The sequence below is a fragment of the Homo sapiens genome, chromosome 10, assembly GCF_000001405.40.
Source record: "Homo sapiens chromosome 10, GRCh38.p14 Primary Assembly".
Taxonomy (NCBI): domain Eukaryota; kingdom Metazoa; phylum Chordata; class Mammalia; order Primates; family Hominidae; genus Homo; species Homo sapiens.
Genome location: NC_000010.11, coordinates 73,665,006 through 73,683,742, shown reverse-complemented (window position 1 = coordinate 73,683,742; position 18,737 = coordinate 73,665,006). Strand labels below are relative to the sequence as shown.

The following is an 18,737-nucleotide window of genomic DNA, read 5'->3' as shown; positions in this document are numbered from 1 at the left end:
ACGCCTGTAATCCCAGTACTTTGGGAGGCTGAGGCAGGCAGATCGCGAGGTGAGGAGATCGAGGCCATCCTGGCTAACACGGTGAAACCCCGTCTCTACTAAAAATACAAAAAGTTAGCCGGGCATGGTGGCGGGCGCCTGTAGTCCCAGCTACTCAGGAGGCTGAGTCAGGAGAATGGCGTGAACCCGGGAGGCGGAGCTTGCAGTGAGCCGAGATCGCGCCACTGCACTCCAGCCTGGGCTACAGAGCGAGACTCCGTCTCAAAAATAAATAAATAAATAAATAAATTAATTAATTAATTAATAGAAATTCTTGGCTGCTTTTTATTGCTGTAGAAAAAAATATGAAATCTCATTTTAAACTTTTCTTTCTTTTTTTTTTTTTTTTTTGAGACGGAGTCTCACTTTGTCTCCCGGCCTGGAGTGCAGTGGCGCGAACTCGGCTCACTGTAAGCTCTGCCTCCTGGGTTCACCCCATTCTCCTGTTTCAGCCTCTCGAGTAGCTGGGACTACAGGGGCCTGCTACCACGCCCGGCTAATTTTTTGTATTTTTAGTAGAGACGGGGTTTCACCATGTTAGCCAGGATGGTCTCGATCTCTTGACCTCGTGATCTGCCCGCCTCCACCTCCCAAAGTGCTAGGATTACAGGTGTGAGCCACCGCGCCCGGCGAAGCCGACTTTTCCCATTATTTTTAACGGTAATTCATAAAATCCTTGTTAGGTTTGATGACAGGTACCATATTAAGGGCAGCATTTTATAACCCATATCTTAAACATCATCTCTGGAAGTTGAGAGCCTCCAATGGGTTTTCTATAGAGTGCACATGATACCACACTCAGGCAGTTCATGGAGTGTAAGACATATCTTAGTGCTTTGTCATTTGACATTTTAACTGAGAAAAAAATACACTTTGATAAATTTGACTTACACTTCCCTTCCCCTTCAGGTATCTACTGAGCGTTTCAGTCAACAATACAGCTCGTGTTCGACAATATTCCTTGATGACAGCACAGCCAGCCAGCATTATCTTACAATGACAATAATATCGTGAGTACAACTATGCTGCCGAGGGACAGATTCCTTTATTCGGAAATTATTTCAGCCATTTGGTTGTCCTCTTCAGCAATCAGCTTAAGAAATTGGAGTCAACCATATATTGATATCCAGATTCTCAATATTAAGTATCAGTTTCTCTTTTAATCTTAGACGTCGTGGTGGAAGGAAAAATCAGTTAGCAAAGAAGCAAACCCAGAAACAGTGTATCTTTTTGATGCCTTTATGCCTTTAGACAATGTTGAACACAGTGAGAAGGATAGGTTCCCTTTATTGAATGTTTTTTGTGGAAACTTAGTTTTTCAATGCATCATAGGCCCAAATCAGTGTGCACTACTTTGGACATTATCCTTGGAAGAAGGAACAGCTTTTCTTCTTCTGGCACCACAGTGTATCTGCATTTGAATTTCTCCCATTGTGCATGAGCACCTCGTGGGCCACAAAGATGCGCTTTGAGAGCACCCTGAGATGAAGTTTATTTTAAAAGGAACAACAACCAACACCACCACCAGCTCCACAGGGGCCGTCCAGTGTACATTATTCTCATCTCCTTGGGTTATTAGTCTTGATTTTTAGAACACAGTTTGGAAAGTCCTAATTTAGAATATTAATGTCTTTATCTTTAATTTAACTTTTCATTCTGTAAACATAACTAGCTTATAAACAATTTTGTTTCAGATGCACTAGCCTTTTTAGCTAATTCAATTGTCAATAACTTTTACTTCAATTAAAAGTGGCAAGTTTACACTCATAATAATGTCACTTTCCTCCCTCCCTTTTAACAATAGTTGAGAGGAAATTGTGTTTCGAACAAAAACTGGACTCAAACTCTGTCTCAAGTCCTGAGCTTTGGGACCTATTGAGTAATCACTAAATGTCTGTAGTCAGCCAAGTCTCTTAAATCTTTGAGCACACATACACAAAAATTACTTTGACTAGAGTCCCTGGCTTCTTCTGAGTTCCAAAGATTTTGATAAGTTAGCATATAATTCAAAAGCAGCTTTGAAGATTAATTTTGCTGAAACTAATTTCGTGCTTTTTTCCTCATTATTCTACTTTTTAGAAGTCTACTTTTGAGAGTATAGTAAGTTTTAATTTGCCACCAGCAAGTTTGAGAAATAATCATTTGGTGTATTCACTATTGGTGAAATAAAGTTATTGAACAAATTAATAGGGCAAATTGGCTTCAAGAAGATATTTTGAAAAATGTTTTATCATGAATCAGTAGTGCACTGTTGTCAGTGGGATAGGTGGCACTCGCTGAGATCACTTATGCAAGGTTTTTTTCAAAATGCAAGTCTGCAAATACATGTATCTTCCCATCTCCACTTTCCCTCTATCTGTAGGCACTGAGAAGCCTTTTAGGAAAATCAGGATGGATGTGAGGCATCTTTCTGTGAAGAAAAGCATCCCAGAAGATTCTGATTTTCACCCCAGCTCAATCATTCCAAACTTTGCTGCTGATTGAAATCACCTGGGAAACGTTTACCAAGAACCTTGATGCCCAAAGCCATACCCAATACTAATTAAATTAAAATGTCTCATGTGGAAGATGAGGCAGATATTAAAGCTTCTCAGGCGATTTTAATGTGCAGCAAAGTTTGAGAGCCACTGCTTAATTTGAGTTTAGGACGAGAAACTGCTCCTATTTGGTGGGACCTTGGGCAAGTCAGTTTTAAGGTTTGTTTCCCTGATCTGTAAAACGAGTGTTGAATTAAATGTCACATAAGGTCATTGGTCCTTTCCAGCATGTAACTTTAAATTCTGTGATTTTAAAATTATTTCAGAGATGAAAACTACTTGAAGCACTATAGACATATCCATCTCACATGCTAATGTTACAGGCTTTTTAAAAAGTGCTAATATTGTGTAGACCTATTAGTAGAATTGAGATTTACCTTCCCTCAGTTGTTTTGAGCCTCACTCTACAAAATTAGCTGGGCGTGGTGGTACATGCCTGTAATCCCAGCCACTTGGGAGGCTGAGGCAGGAGAATCTCTTGAACCCGGGAGGCAGAGGTTGTGGTGAGCCGAGATCACACCATTGCACTCCAGCCTGGGCAACAAGAGCGAAACTCCACCCACCCACCCCCCCCAAAAAAAATTATCTGGGCATAGTGGCGCAAACTTGTAGTCCCAGCTTCTTGGGAGGCTGAGGCGTGAGAATCGCTTGAACCTGGGTGGTGGAGGTTGTGAGGAGTCAAGATGGCACCACTGCAGTCCAGTCTGAGCAAGAGAGACAGACTCTGGGTCAAAAAATAAATAAATACATAAAATAAATCGCATGGGACGAAAGGTTTCATCGGTAGAAAAGCATATAACAGGGAAATCTGTTATTATTTATATATTGTAATCACCAACAGAAACGCGTCTTCTAACGGCATATTTCCTTGCATTTTGGTTCTCATATTTTTGTAAAAAACAAAGAAATGAAAACAAAGTGCCCTTATGGTACTGTTCTGAACTAGAAGATTTGAATTTCAGGGCCGCTAGGAGAGTTTCCTCTGCCCCCCTTTTAAAAAATGTCTTCAGGCCTAACAAATGATAACATCTATTGTTATGAATTTTTTTTCCTTCCACAGTGTGACCTTGGAGATACCTCATCATATCACACAAAGGTGAGCTTTTTAGAAACCTGTCTTGTTATTCTAGCTAATTACTTTGCAAGATATCAAGCTCAGTGTTAGGTCACAGCTCTAGACATCATAAGCTGTATTGTGCCTACTAAAATATCGAAGCAAATTATTTGTATTTTCTTTGTTCCTTAAGACTCTCATAATTCTTAAATGATTGAGAATCTCAAAGAGTATATGCTTATATTGATTATATTGATATTTAGTGTGGTAGAATTATACAATTGAAATTTTTTCAAAATCTATTTTTAGTTTAGATTTCACAGCCTTACCACTGTTGATATTATGGGCTAGATAATGCTTTGTTGTAAGGACTGTCTTGTGCATTGCAGAGAGTTTAGCAGTATTCATGGCCTCTACCAACTAGATGTCAGTAGTAACCCATGACCCAGGTTATAAAAACAGAAAATATTCCTTGAGAACAGTATTGTTAACAGAAGTTTTTCATTGAAAAAAAACTTTTCTACAACAAAAAGTTGAGTAAAAAGTGTGTCATTTGTTTATATTATTTAAAGTCTCTCATGTTGAGCTTAATAGGAGACAAATGGATTCTCTAGAGCTTTCTTTGCAATTTGCTTCAAAGAAGCAATATGAGGCTGGGCACAGTGGCTCACGCCTGTAATCCCAGCACTTTGGGAGGCTGAGGCGGGCGGATCACAAGGTCAGGAGATCGAGACCATTCTGGCTAACACGGCGAAACCCCGTCTCTACTAAAAATACAAAAACTTAGCTGGGCATGGTGGCACGCACCTGTAGTCCCACCTATTCTGGAGGCTGAGGCAGGAGAACCGCTTGAACTTGGGAGGCGGAGGTTGCAGAGAGCTGAGATTGTGCCATTGCACTGCAGCCTGGGTGACAGAGCAAGACTCTGTCTAAACAAACAAACAAAAAAAGCAATAAGCTGGTGGGGCGCAGTGGTTCACACCTGTAATCCCAGCATTTTGGGAGGCTGAGGTGGGTGGATCACTTGAGGTCAGGAGTTTGAGACCAGCCCGACCAACATGGTAAAACCCGCCTCTACTGAAAGTACAAAAAGTGGCTGGGCATGGTAGTGCATGCCTGTAGTCCCAGTTACTTGGGAGGCTGAGGCAGGAGAATCGCTTGAGCCTGGGAGGTGGAGGTTGCAGTGAGCCGAGATCTCGCCATTGCACCCCAGCCTGGGTGACAGAGAGAGACTCTGTCTCAAAAAAAGAGAAAAAGAAGCAATAAGATGACCTAACCTCATGCAAATATGTAGTTGGTAGAAGGTGTATTTTTAAAGTTTTCAGACAGTTGTGGGTATTTGTTAAAACACTAAATCAAAACTTCACAAGTGGTGGTTTCTTAAATTAGTTACGGTGGCATTTTACATATTAATAAATTTATTCCATCAGTACTCATTGATCTTTCTTGCACAGTAAATGGATCTTTTGCTCCATACTTGCATTTATAATATCATGCATTAGTTACTTGGAATATATTGGCTTATGTTTTATTGTGTCAAAAATCACTTTTAGTTTAACCACCAATCTTACTTTAACACGCCTTTAAGTATTGAAAAGCTGCCAAGCCTACAGTAGAAGGAACAAGTTTTTCAAAGTCCACAGGAAAGCTTAAATTTTATCATTGGGAACAAATACGTATTTCCCTTGAAGTGACAACCTCTCACTTCATTTATTTTTGAGAATGATAGTTGAACTGGTTTTTTAGACCGAGTTTCACTCTGTCACTTGGCTGGAGTGCATTGGCATGATCTCAGCTCAAGCAATCCTCTCACCTCAGGCTCCTGTGTAGCTGGGACCACAGATGTGTGGCACCACGCCAGGCTAATTTTCTTATATGTTTGATAGAGACACAGTTTCGTTACGTTGCCTAGGCTGGTCCCGAACTCCTGAAGGAGCTCAGGCCATCTGCCTGCTTTGGCCTCTCAAAGTGCTGGGATTTTACAGGCGTGAGCCACTGCGCTGGCCCAGTTGTACTTTTAAATAAAAATGATGTTCTGTGAAAAAAGTGATTTTTCAGTTCACAGTTAAATCACGGATTCTTTAAAAACAAAAAAAAAAGCACTTCTCATTAACTTTCCACTTATTCAGAATATTAGAGACATGTCAAGATTTAACAACATTAATTTTTATTGCTTCATCAAAGACGTTCTTAAGAAATTCAGGCTATGTTTTTTACCTGTAGGGGACAGTGAAAGGGACTACTAATGTAATTGGTACCACTGCCTTGATTTATGCTGAGAAACCAGCCATTGTACCTACTTTTGCTTTTATACAATCATGGCAAGTGTCAACGAAAAAGCAGGCAATGACTTTGTATTACTTTCACAAATTTTTAAAATTTTTCATCAGCTTTCTCAGGTTTAATTAGTATGATTCAGAACAGTGTTGGCCAGGCACAGTAGCTCAGGCCTGTAATCCCAGCACTTTGGAGGCCGAGGCAAGTGGATCGCCTGAGGTTAGGAGTTCAAGACCAGCCTGGCCAACATGGTGAAACCACATCTCTACTAAAAATACAAAACTTAGCCAGGAGTGGTGGCAGGTGCCTGTAATCCCTGCTACTTGGGAGGCTGGGGTAGGAGAATCACTTGAACCTGGGAGGCGAAGGTTGCCATGAGCCGAGATCACACCATTGCACTCCAGCCTGGGCAACAAGAGTAAAACTTGGTCTCAAAAAAAAAAAAAAAAAAAAAAAAAAGAACAGTTATGACCTCTTAGGCCTTCTGGAAGGGGTCTTCGGGATCCCGAGAGGTCCACAGAGCACATTTGGAGAACCACTGGTTTATACACAGGCACAATGCATTAGTTTTACAAAGTTTAAAGTTCCTCAAAGACTGGCCTCTTAAAAAGGCAGATGAGTTTGTCATTCAGACAACAGAAAATACATAAAAACATCATGAGAGTATACTACAGAGAACTAAAGAGAAAGGAAGCTAGGAAATCTGAATCACATTTACATTTATTAAAGTTTACTACTACTGCTTTGTAGAACATTCTTGTGTTTCAATGTGTGGTTAGAAGAGTGAAAATATGTTTGGTTTATTGCCATGGCCTGTTAGGGAGAGTCAATATTCATGGGCATTTCTGACTGGTTATCATATAAAAGGCTTCACGGTACAGGCCATGATGTGCTGAGAAAGAAGAAGTCAGGAAACCCTCTGCAAGTCAGGATCCAGGAGAAGAATTTGTAAAAACTGCTTTGGTAAAGTAAACACCAAAGCACACAGGAGGAAGTATTTTACTCAACAAATATTATACTAAGATATTAACAGTTTTTGAAGTAATGCACTTTCTTATTTTATAGAGATGCAGATAGATCTTTGAGCATACCTGATGAACAGTTACACTCATTTGCGGTAAGTGGCACTTTTATTGAGGTTCTATTTTCATCGTACACTTGTATCTGTTTCATGCTGAAGTCAAAGCCATCTTTTTTTAAATCTTCCCCATTTCATGTTGCATTTAGTCATCTTAAGTGTTGTAAAAAGAATGTGCTGGAGTAAGAACTGATCTGCAGCTCTGTTTAGTTAGTGAGCTAGTATGAGTAAATATACTATCCAAACAACAGAAAATGTATCTTTTTTTTTTTTTGATGGACTCTCTTTCTGTAGCCCAGGCTGGAGTGCAATCGCGCGATCTTGGCTCACTGCAGGCTCTGCCTCCCAGGTCCCTGTTCAAGCAATTCTCCTGCCTCAGCCTCCCGAGTAACTGGAATTACAGGCATGTGACACCATGCCCAGCTAATTTTTTTTTCTTTTTTCTTTTCTTTTTTTTTTTTTTTTTGTAAAGACAGGGTTTCACCATGTTGGCCAGGATGGTCTTGAACTCCTGACCTCGTGATCCACCCACCTTGGCCTCCCAAAGTGCTGTGATTACAGGTGTGAGCCACCATGCCTGGCCCAGAAAATGTATCTTTTTAAAAGGTAATTGTAAGCTGTCTATAGGACCCTGCAAGCCACTACCCAATTTTTGAAGCCATTCCTCCTTCTGTTCCACACAGGTTTCCACCGTGCACATTACGAAGAACAGAAATGGAGGTGGGAGTTTAAATAACTATTCCTCCTCCATTCCATCGACTCCCAGCACCAGCCAGGAGGACCCTCAGTTCAGTGTTCCTCCCACTGCCAACACACCCACCCCCGTTTGCAAGCGGTCCATGCGCTGGTCCAACCTGTTTACATCTGAGAAAGGGAGTCACCCAGACAAAGAGAGGAAAGCCCCGGAGAATCATGCTGACACCATCGGGAGCGGCAGAGCCATCCCCATTAAACAGGGCATGCTCTTAAAGCGAAGTGGGAAATGGCTGAAGACATGGAAAAAGAAATACGTCACCCTGTGTTCCAATGGCGTGCTCACCTATTATTCAAGCTTAGGTGATTATATGAAGAATATTCATAAAAAAGAGATTGACCTTCGGACATCTACCATCAAAGTCCCAGGAAAGTGGCCATCCCTAGCCACATCGGCCTGTGCACCCATCTCCAGCTCTAAAAGCAATGGCCTATCCAAGGACATGGACACCGGGCTGGGTGACTCCATATGCTTCAGCCCCAGTATCTCCAGCACCACCAGCCCCAAGCTCAACCCGCCCCCCTCTCCTCATGCCAATAAAAAGAAACACCTAAAGAAGAAAAGCACCAACAACTTTATGATTGTGTCTGCCACTGGCCAAACATGGCACTTTGAAGCCACGACGTATGAGGAGCGGGATGCCTGGGTCCAAGCCATCCAGAGCCAGATCCTGGCCAGCCTGCAGTCATGCGAGAGCAGTAAAAGCAAGTCCCAGCTGACCAGCCAGAGCGAGGCCATGGCCCTGCAGTCGATCCAAAACATGCGTGGGAACGCCCACTGTGTGGACTATGAGACCCAGAATCCTAAGTGGGCCAGTTTGAACTTGGGAGTCCTCATGTGTATTGAATGCTCAGGAATCCACCGCAGTCTTGGCACCCGCCTTTCCCGTGTGCGATCTCTGGAGCTGGATGACTGGCCAGTTGAGCTCAGGAAGGTTATGTCATCTATTGGCAATGACCTAGCCAACAGCATCTGGGAAGGGAGCAGCCAGGGGCAGACAAAACCCTCAGTAAAGTCCACGAGGGAAGAGAAGGAACGGTGGATCCGTTCCAAATATGAGGAGAAGCTCTTTCTGGCCCCACTACCCTGCACTGAGCTGTCCCTGGGCCAGCACCTGCTGCGGGCCACCGCTGATGAGGACCTGCAGACAGCCATCCTGCTGCTGGCACATGGCTCCCGTGAGGAGGTGAACGAGACCTGTGGGGAGGGAGACGGCTGCACGGCGCTCCATCTGGCCTGCCGCAAGGGGAATGTGGTCCTGGCACAGCTCCTGATCTGGTACGGGGTGGACGTCATGGCCCGAGATGCCCACGGGAACACAGCGCTGACCTACGCCCGGCAGGCCTCCAGCCAGGAGTGCATCAACGTGCTTCTGCAGTACGGCTGCCCCGACGAGTGCGTGTAGTATCTGTTTTATTTGACTGCAGTCTCCTTGGTGCAAAAACAAAATGGGAAAAATAAGGATAACTCAGAATTTCAAAAGGAAATCACAAATTCAGCTAGTAATAGCATTTTCAGTACTTTTCATAAACTAAGTAAATACACAAAATGTTGATTTTTCTGACCATAAGACATATTTTATGTCCTTTTGCCAAGGTGGATGTGTTAGTCTCAGGCCCTCCTGGCCACATTGCCCAAGTCACACAGGCTTCTGTATTATGTATTTAGATAAAATGTGTGAAAATATATTTGAAAAAAAAGTTCATAAATATGCATTGATTTTTGTACACATGGCACCTCTTTTTCATTTTTATTTTTATTTTTTTTTTGGACGATGTTTTGCTCTGTTGCCCCAGCTGGAGTGCAGTGGCATGATATCTGCTCACTGCAAGCTCTGCCTCCCGGATTCACACCATTCTCCTGCCTCAGCCTCTCAGGTAGCTGGGACTACAGGTGCCTGCCACCACACCTGGCTAATTTTTTGTATTTTTAGTAGAGACGTGGTTTCACCATGTTAGCCAGGATGGTCTCGAACTCCTGACCTCGTGATCCACCTGCCTCGGCCTCCCAAAGTGTTGGGATTACGGGCGTGAGCCACCGTACCCGGCCCATGGCACCTCTCTTAATTTATAAATTGAACTGGATGTGAAGTAATAATGTCAGCTAGTTGAGATAAGAGGGTTACAGTTCGGCTGGGCGCAGTGGCTCACACCTGTAATCCTAGCACTTTGGGAGGCTTAGGCGGACTGATCACCAGGTCAGGAGATTGAGACCATCCTGGCTAACATCATGAAACCCCATCTCTACTAAAAAATACAAAAAATTAGCTGGGCATGGCCGGGCGTGGTGGCTCACACCTGTAATCCCAGCACTTTGGGAGGCCGAGGCAGGCGGATCACGAGGTCAGGAGATCAAGACCATCCTGGCTAACATGGTGAAACCCCGTCTCTACTAAAAATACAAAAAAAAAAAAAAAAATTAGCCAGGTGTGGTGGCAGGCACCTGTAGTCCCAGCTACTCGGGAGGCTGAGGCAGGAGAATGGTGTGAACCCAGGAGGCGGAGCTTGCAATGAGCTGAGATTGCACCACTGCACTCCAGCCTGGGCAACCAAGCGAGACTCCATCTCAAAAAAAAAAAAAAAATTAGCTGGGCATGGTGGCGGGCACCTGTAGTCCCAGCTACTTGGGAGGCTGAGGCAGGAGAATGGCATGAACTCAGGAGGCAAAGCTTGCAGTGAGCAGAGACTGTGCCACTGCACTCCAGCCTGGGCAACAGAGCGAGACTCTGTCTCAAAAAAAAAAAAGAAAAGAAAAAGAGGGTTACAGATCATTGCACATGGAAAATATTCCCAGCAGTAAACACTTCCATTAATGTGATCTACAGCTTTTAAAAAGGAGCATCTCAGAATAAGATGGTGGTACAATTTGCTTATTGAGAAAGGAAAAAAAAAACACACGAGTATATTACAAAGGGAAAAGAAGGAATGTGATTTCTCATGATTGAAAGCTTGATTTAGATTGCATACAGCTTTTGCTACCCAAGACCAAGCGGCTCTGGCAAGACAGGGTGGTTTTCCGAATGCCAGACCGAGGTGCCTTATGAAGGCAGCTGCCGATGGTTCCAGATGTAGAGAGATAGGTGATGCAGGAGGGAAAGCTGGATTGGAAAAGGGAGAGTTTTGTAGACCGGCTACACTCATTGTGCCTTTGAAAGAGCAGAGCCGGCAGCCTCTAGTCATCATTTGGATATACAGGACTGGAGCATGAATCTGATGTAGAGCTACAGAATGAAGAGCAACAGCAGCTGTTTAAATACCGAGAAAGTGTGTAGAATGAAATTGGACAAGCCAAGCATGGTGGTTTCATGCCTTTAGTCCTAGCTACTTCGGAGGCTGAGGTGGGGGAATTACTTGAGCTCAGCAGTTTGAGTCCAGCCTGGGCCAGATGTTGAGACCCTGTATCTTAAGAAAAGAAAAAAATAAGACCAGGTACAGTATCTCATGCCTGTAATCCCAGCACTTTGGGAGGCCAAGTTGAGAGGACTGCTCGAGTGTAGGAGTTCAAGACCAGACTGGGCAATAAAGTGAGACCCATTTCTTTTTTTTTTTTTTTTAACTTCTTAAATGCACAAATTTATTTTTTCTCAACAAACACACATCTTAATGCCTTTACAACTTTTATCTCCCCAAATATATCTTGCTTTTCTTTATATGTGCTGTATACAGAGTTGTTTTCCTTATATTTAGTAGTTATTGCTTTTTTGTGCCCTTTTGCGTCCTGAATTTACACATCAGGCATAGATCTTGGGACAGGAAAGAGCTGTGAAGCAAATTCCTGGAAAATCAAACCCCTTCCAGCATGGCCAGGTAGCACAGCTGAGCCAGGGATGATGGGGCCATATTGGGTTTGGCTCTGCCTTGCAGCTGGCAGTCCAAACACTGAGGACATGCATATTTCTGCAGGCCAGTGAGACCCATTTCTACCAAAAAAAAAAAAAAAAAATCAAGAAATTAGCTGGACATGGTGGCACATGCCTGTGGCCCCAGTTACATGGCATGGCAGGCTGAGGCAGGAAGATCACTTGAGCCCAGGAGGTGGAGGCTGCAGTGACCCATATACATGCCACTGCACTCCAGCCTGGGCAACAGAGTGAGACCCTCTCTCAAAAACAGATAAAGTGGACAGAAAATAGGTTGGTAAGGACTAATCATTTAAGGGACAAGCCCCCAGAAGAGTGGCTACTAGAGTGGGAGGAGGAAAAGCAGAAGGAGAAAGAGTTGAAGACAGGCGAGGCTGTGGTCCCAGTGCTGAATTCTGCCAAGCAGTGACTTGATTCATGAACACTCACTGGATGCTGACTCTGTTGCTCTTCTGAGTGCTGGGGTAGAGGAGAGGAGAGGTGGAGCCCAGTTCTTGCTTTTAGGAGCTTATGTTCTAGGAAGTTCAAGTATTTTTTCAGGTAGTATGAAATAGCAGGAAGAGGAAGCAGGCTAAAGGGACACAGAGTGATTGGGGGCTATTTTAAGTAGAATGATAAGGAAGAGCCTGTCTAGAGAGCTATTTGAACAATGACCTGACTGAAGGGACAACAGAAAGCAGTGCTGACATTACAGGTAGCAGGATGACTGCCAAGACAGAAACGCATTTCATATGTGTTTGAGGAACAAACAGCAAGGTGACCAGCATGGGGAGAGTGAAGAATGAGGGAAACCTTGAATGAGAGTAAAGCAATTCCATCTTGGAGGCTAATCTGCCATATTCTGATTAATCCCAGTTCCAAGAATTCATCTACAATTTCTATTTTATCTTTTTAAAAATATTATTTTTTATTTTTTATTTTTTGAGACAGTCTCACTCTGTCTCCCAGGTTGGACTGCAGTGGCACAATCTCAGCTCACTGCAAACTTCACCTCCTGGGTTCAAGCGATTCTCCTGCCTCAGCTTCCCGAGTAACTGGGATTACAGGCGCCTGCCACCATGCCTGGCTAATTTTTGTATTTTTAGTACAGATGAGGTTTTACCATGTTGGCCAGGCTGGTCTGGAACTCCTGACCTCAGGTGATCCGCCCACCTTGGCCTCCCAAAGAGCTGGGATTACAGGCGTGAGCCACCGTGTCTGGCCATACACATCCCTGCCGAAGCCCGCATTACCCTTCCCCTATGCTATAGAAGCCCTGGGTCGGGGGGGTGGGGGTAATGGCACAGGGATCCACCATCTTATCTTGGTGCCATCCCTGACTTGGCTTCTGTTCATAAACGCCTATTAAATGTTTCTTTCTGAGAAACTGGATTTGTCAGCCTCTTTCTTTGGTATCTCAGGTTCCTTGGCCTTTGCGGGTAGGTTTATATAGACCTGCTCAGCACAGGACAGGCAGTTTCTCAAAAAATTAAAAATAGAATTACCAAATGATCCAGCAATATCACTTCTGGGTATATAGCCAAAATAATTGAAAGCAAGGTCTCATAGAAATATTTGTACACTGATATTTATAGCAGTGGTATTCACACTCATCAAAAGATGGATGCAGCCTAATTGTCCATAGGCAGATGAATTGATAAAATGTGGTATATACATACAATAAAATATTCTTCAGCCTTAAAAAGGAAGGAAATTCTAACACATGCTACAACATGGATGAACATTGAGGACATTATGCTAAGTGAAATAAGCCAGTTAGAAAAAGACAAATACTGTGTTCTTTCACTTATGTGAAGCATCCAGACTGAGTAAGCAAACTAATAGAAACAGAAAGTAGAACGGGGGTTGCCAGGGACATGGGGAAGGGAGAAAATGGGAAGTTGCTTAGTGGATATAGAGTTTTGGTTTTGTCAGATGAAAAAGTTCTGGAGATTGGTTGCATGGCAATGTGAATATACTCTACATTACCCAACCCAAGGGCTCTCCTTAACCCCTGTTCCGACTGCCACTTAGAAGTGGTTAAGGTAGTAAATTTTATGCATATTTTACCACAATTCAAAATAGAATTATTATTTTTTTATTATAATTTTTTGAGATCCCTCACTCTGCTGCCCAGGCTGGAGTGCAATGGCACCGTCTCGGCTCACTGCAACCTCTGCCTTCTGGGTTCAAGCGATTCTCCTGCCTCAGCCTCTCAAGTAGCTGGAACTTACAGGCACATGCCACCATGCCCAACTAATTTTTGTAAGTTTAGTAGAGACGGGGTTTCACCATGTTCGCCAGGCTGGTCTTGAACTCCTGACTTCAGGTGATCCACCTGCCTTGGCCTCCCAAAGTGCTGGGATTACAGGTGTGAGCCACCATGCCCGGCTGTCAAATAGGTGTTTTGTTTTTTTGTTTTTTTTTTTTTTTTGAGATGGAGGTTTGCTTTTGTTGGCCAGGCTGGAGTGCAATGGCAGGATCTCGGCTCACGGCAACCTCCACCTCCCGTGTTCAAGCAATTCTACTGCCTCAGCCTCCCGAGTAGCTGGGATTACAGGCATGCACCACCATGCCCAGCTAATTTTGTATTTTATTTTAGTATAGATGGGGTTTCTCCATGTTGGTCAGGCTGGTCTCCAACTCCTGACCTCAGGTGATCCACCCACCTTGGCCTCCCAAAGTGCTGGGATTACAGGTATGAGCCATTGCGCCTGGCCTTTTTTTTTTTTTTTTTTTTTTGTGATGGACTTTTGCTCTTCTTATCCAGGCTGGAGCGCAATGGCACGATCTCAGCTCACTGCAGCCTCTCCTCCCAGGTTCAAGTGATTCTCTTTCCTCAGCCTCCTGAGTAGCTGGGATTACAGGCATGCACCACCATGCCTGGCTAATTTTGTATTTTTAGTACGTATGGGGTTTCTCCATGTTGATCAAGCTGGTTTTCAACTCCTGACCTCAGGTGATCCACCCGCCTCGGCTTCCCAAAGTGCTAGGATTACAGGCGTGAGCCACTGCGCCTGGCCTGAAAAAAATTTTAAAGTTTGAGAAAATACAAAATTTTCATAGTCTCCAAGTATTTCTCCTAAGATCTTTCCCCCTATGAGGGGGAAAGATAGTAACTTTACAATGGAGAAACCCAGCAGAAACCTGAACCAAATGAACAAGTTCAACATCATCAGTAAGAAGAACTATCAATGCCATAACTCTGATGGAATGCACTGGGAAGGATTCCACATCATTTTTGTGCTGTAATTGCCAAAAGTGTGTAACTTCAGTCCAATCATGGAAATACATCAGACAAACCCAAATCGAGGAACATTTGACAAATAGTGATCAGTACTGGTTCAAGATGTCACGGTTATGAAAGATAAGGAAAGATTGAGGAACTGTTATTGCAGTCCTACAAAATGGCGAGAGACTAAGAAATAACTAAATGCAGCGTGATCCTGGGTGGAATTTGGGAACAGAAAAAGGACATTAGTGGAAAAAGTGGTGAAACTCCAATAAGGTCTTTTGTTTAGCGAATATGTTCATTTTAAATTAGTTAAATTATTTAAATATATTTAAACATTATTTAAATATATTTAAACATTATTTAAATATATTTAAACATTATTTAAATGTATTTAATTAAATTAATAAAATTGGTTATTTTGTGAAATAATTTTAATATAGTTAAATATGAGAATGTGGACTTCCTGGTTCTGATCACCGTACTGTGGCTATCTAAGAGGTGAATGTTCAGGGAGGCTGGGGGAGGAATAAATGGAAATTATACTATTAAGTTGGAAGAGAGAAACCTACCCCATCAGTCACGAAACCCTCACATTCATGGCAGTGTGTCGGAGGTTCCAGTATGAATGGCATTTCCCAGATGTCAGCGCGAGGTCCCTGTGGAGGGAGTGGGGCTCCCTGGGAATCTAGTGGAGAGCATTCGGGGCTCCCTTCCTCAGGAGCCTGCCCTTCCTGCACAGAAGTGTCAGCCTCACCTCTGTACCACTGCCCCTCTGCCTCTCAGAACCCACTCGGCTTCAGGAAGATTCTACTGCCATCCTCCTTTCCCGGATACAGCCTCCAGGGACTCAGCCCTGCCTTCCCAAGTGTTCCTTCCTCTCTTGGGAAGGGGTGCTCTCAGATCCCACACCCCTGGACTTCCCCGGGCACCACCTGCTCCTTCTTCACTTCTCCAGCTCTGCGTTCTCACTCTGAGGGTCCTCTCCTGCTGGGAGTGTGTGTTGCTGGCAACAGTGAAGATTCCCCCCTGGGTTGCCCCCTGCCCTGTTCTTCTGCACTTCCCTGGCTTCCTGCGTTGGTTCTGCTGGTGTCTCCTGCTTTTGGTTTACATGGCTTCCCAGCTTCCTAATTTCTCTGAAGTTGAGTTTGATGTGTGTGTTGATGATGGGCTTTTTCCTCCTCCTCCTCCTTCTCCTCCTCCTCAGTCTTGTTGTTGTTCCATATAGTTTCCAGAAGGAGAAAAGAGACACTGTAAAATTTAGCTGCTGCAGGCTGGGCACAGTGGCTCATGCCTGTAATCCCAGCCCTTTGGGAGGCCGAGGCAGGCGGATCACCTGAGGTGAGGAGTTCAAGACCAGCCTGGTCAACATGGTGAAACCTCACCTCTACCAAAAATACAAAATTTAGCAAGGCGTGGTGGCATGTGCCGGTAATCCCAGCTACTTGGGAGGCTGAGGCAGGAGGATCTCTTGAACGCGGGAGGCAGAAGTTGCAGTGAGCCGAGATCATGCTACTGCACTTCAGCCTGGGTAACAAGAGCAAAACTCCATCTCAAAATAATAATAATAATAATAATAATAATAATAATAATAATGCCATGTTTCTATCAGACCCAGAAATCCCACAGAGTGAGCTGGAATTCTGTTTCTCTGTTTCCCCTCCATACCCACTGGCTCCTCTCTGCCCACTCCCTCTTGGACTGCATCACCAGGGTGCCTCACTGTCTGGCCCTAGTGGAATTCAAACAGTGGAGGATGTCATAGGAGGTGGGAGAGAGAGAGGAGAGGTGGTTATTTGCTCAGATTCTTCCTTGCTGGTTTGGCAGTGGCCACATCTTTCTACTGATGGCTGCAGCTCCTGATGATCCTCCTCTACAGCCACAGCTCTCTTTGGGATCTGTGGACACCTTTCCTAGACCCAGGGAGATAACAGCTCCCACTCTTGCTGGTCCAGGACATTCCTCATCTCTTACTGGTTCTCTTAACTCTGTCCACACTTCTGTGAACAGCCCCTTTCCTCAAATACCCATTCGAATATGTCCTCTGGCTTCCACCAGGAGCCTGACTGATACCCACAGGTGGGTGAATGCTGGCATGCTGCTGGGCCCCTCTTCCTCTGGTGACTGGCCAGCCAAGTCTCCAGGAGTCTCGTTAGGGTGGGCAGGTGGTGGGCACAGCACAAACTGTGAGCTCAAATCCACAGAGCAAAAGTGGGAGAAGACACTGGCAGGATGGACCGCCACAAAAGTCTTGGCATTCATGACGTCTGTCCTTTAAAGCATGCAAGGCATCATCATGCTTCAGACATGAGACAGCCTAAGTATTTAAGTATTTCAAATAAACAAGTTGTTTTCCAGAATTGGTCATTTCTAAGTTGGCAAATTACTATTGGAAACGTTGGCTGTCCTTGACTCAATGATTCAGCCAGCTAGTCCCTTGCCAAACTAGTTTGTTGGGCAAATTCCACCTTGAGAATTTATCTGCTCCTGTCAAAGCCAGATTCTCCCTGCCTGAGGGGAGGCTGGACTTGACCTTCTGACTCAGGATATGCTGACTTGGGTCCCTAGGTCCAAGGGCGGCCCTCTTGGGCCTACTGTGGGCTGGACCTCTTCCATGATGGGGTGGTGGAGGGCAGGCCCCACCTGATTCACACTTGACCTCATCCAGGCAGGTGAAGTTCCCTGCAGGAGTCACCTGAGCCCAGCCCCTCAGACCAGGATCCATCATGTTTAGGAGGATTTGGGGCTATCTCATGTTCTTTGGCTAGAAAGGGGTCCCACTCTTAGGGGTCTGCCCTCTGTGGGGCACAGATGGCTTGCTGGGGCCCATGGACTGGGCTGGGTGGACGGGAATCTGGTCACAGCAGCAGCAGCTGGAAGGCCAAGAGGGAGGGCACCAGGGCCTGGGACCCATGTCTGGTCCTGGGCCTCCCCGGGCCTCTTGCCTTCTCCCCAGCAGGCATTTGGGATCTGTGTCTGGACCCAGCCTTGCCCAGAAGGCCATGGTATGTTGTCATTAGAATCAGTGCTCACACCAAGGCAGTGCATTAAATTAGCAGGGCAGGGTCTCATGGGCAGGGGACCATGTGGAGGGGGTGGGGGGAAGGGCAGTTGTCCCCAGAGGCTGTGGTGGGCCTGGCTCTGGGCTGGGCAGTGGGCCAGGGTCCTGCTGTGTGGCTGAGCTCTGACAACAGGCTGTCTGAGTCTGGTGAGCTCCTGAAAGCGGGGACTGGTGGAGAGTACCCTAGGGTGGGAGCTCATGAGGAGGGGGTCTGTGGGGTCTGGAAGCCATTCTAGAGCAGGCAGATGACATTTATCAGCGGAACAGGCATAGAAAGGACCCTTGTGCGAGTGGGGAACACACAGCCTCAGAAGAAACAGGGAAGGGGCTTTGACAGGTCCAGGGAGAATCCCTGAGGTTTCCTAAAACAATTCCCACCAGCCATGTCCCAGGTGTCCCCCCATCCCCCAGGCCTCTGCAGTGCCAGCCCAATGCCCTGGGCAAAACATCCTGGACTCTGGCTGTTACAAAAGTAGGACAGGGTCACCTGGACCCGCCTGAGCTCCAGGCCCCCGACTTTCACAGCCCCTTCTGGGTCCAGAAGTTCATACGTATATAAATGAAAAATGTGCAAGAATCATATTATTGTATTCTTTTTCATAAAGAGGGCCCCTCTAAATTGTTTAAGCCCCAATTCACCCCTGCCCAAAGGAGATAGCAATGGCATGTGTGGGGCCGTAGTCTTGAGACCCAGAGGTCCTGCTGCCCACGATACCCACTGTCCACCCTAGGGGGACTGGCCATAGCCCTGGAGCCCGCAAACACCATGCAGGAATGCAAGAGGGTCTCAGCTCCCGAGTCCCAGGCTGGGAGGGCCCACAGTCCAGTAAACTAATCAGGCCCCAACACACCCAGGAGAGCAGCTCC

The 18,737-nt window shown here is 45.1% G+C and overlaps 1 protein-coding gene, 1 long non-coding RNA gene and 1 pseudogene across 6 annotated transcripts in view; 2 read left to right on the top strand and 1 right to left on the bottom strand.

Annotated features, from left to right (window-relative positions):
* Positions 1-9,448, top strand: part of AGAP5 (ArfGAP with GTPase domain, ankyrin repeat and PH domain 5) — a 23,815-nt gene extending 14,367 nt beyond the window's left edge. The window contains exons 5-8 of the mRNA NM_001144000.4: positions 949-1,049; positions 3,637-3,672; positions 6,973-7,024; positions 7,669-9,448. Coding sequence (NP_001137472.1) covers positions 949-1,049; positions 3,637-3,672; positions 6,973-7,024; positions 7,669-9,144 — 1,665 coding nt within the window. The 3' untranslated portion in view covers positions 9,145-9,448. The remainder of the gene's footprint in view (positions 1-948; positions 1,050-3,636; positions 3,673-6,972; positions 7,025-7,668) is intronic.
* Positions 1-9,468, top strand: part of BMS1P4-AGAP5 (BMS1P4-AGAP5 readthrough) — a 56,232-nt pseudogene extending 46,764 nt beyond the window's left edge. For all 3 annotated transcript variants that reach the window (NR_160426.1, NR_160425.1, NR_160427.1), the window contains 4 exons: positions 949-1,049; positions 3,637-3,672; positions 6,973-7,024; positions 7,669-9,468. The product of NR_160426.1 is annotated as a BMS1P4-AGAP5 readthrough, transcript variant 2 (transcript). The remainder of the gene's footprint in view (positions 1-948; positions 1,050-3,636; positions 3,673-6,972; positions 7,025-7,668) is intronic.
* SYNPO2L-AS1 (SYNPO2L antisense RNA 1) overlaps positions 8,295-18,737 on the bottom strand; it is a 21,410-nt gene continuing 10,967 nt past the window's right edge. Inside the window, exons 2-3 of one of the 2 annotated variants that reach the window (NR_187519.1) lie at positions 15,382-16,017; positions 8,295-9,170 (exon numbers count right to left, since the gene is read on the bottom strand). This is a non-coding gene — a long non-coding RNA (SYNPO2L antisense RNA 1). The remainder of the gene's footprint in view (positions 9,171-15,381; positions 16,018-18,737) is intronic. The other variant, NR_187518.1, reaches the window with a different exon arrangement.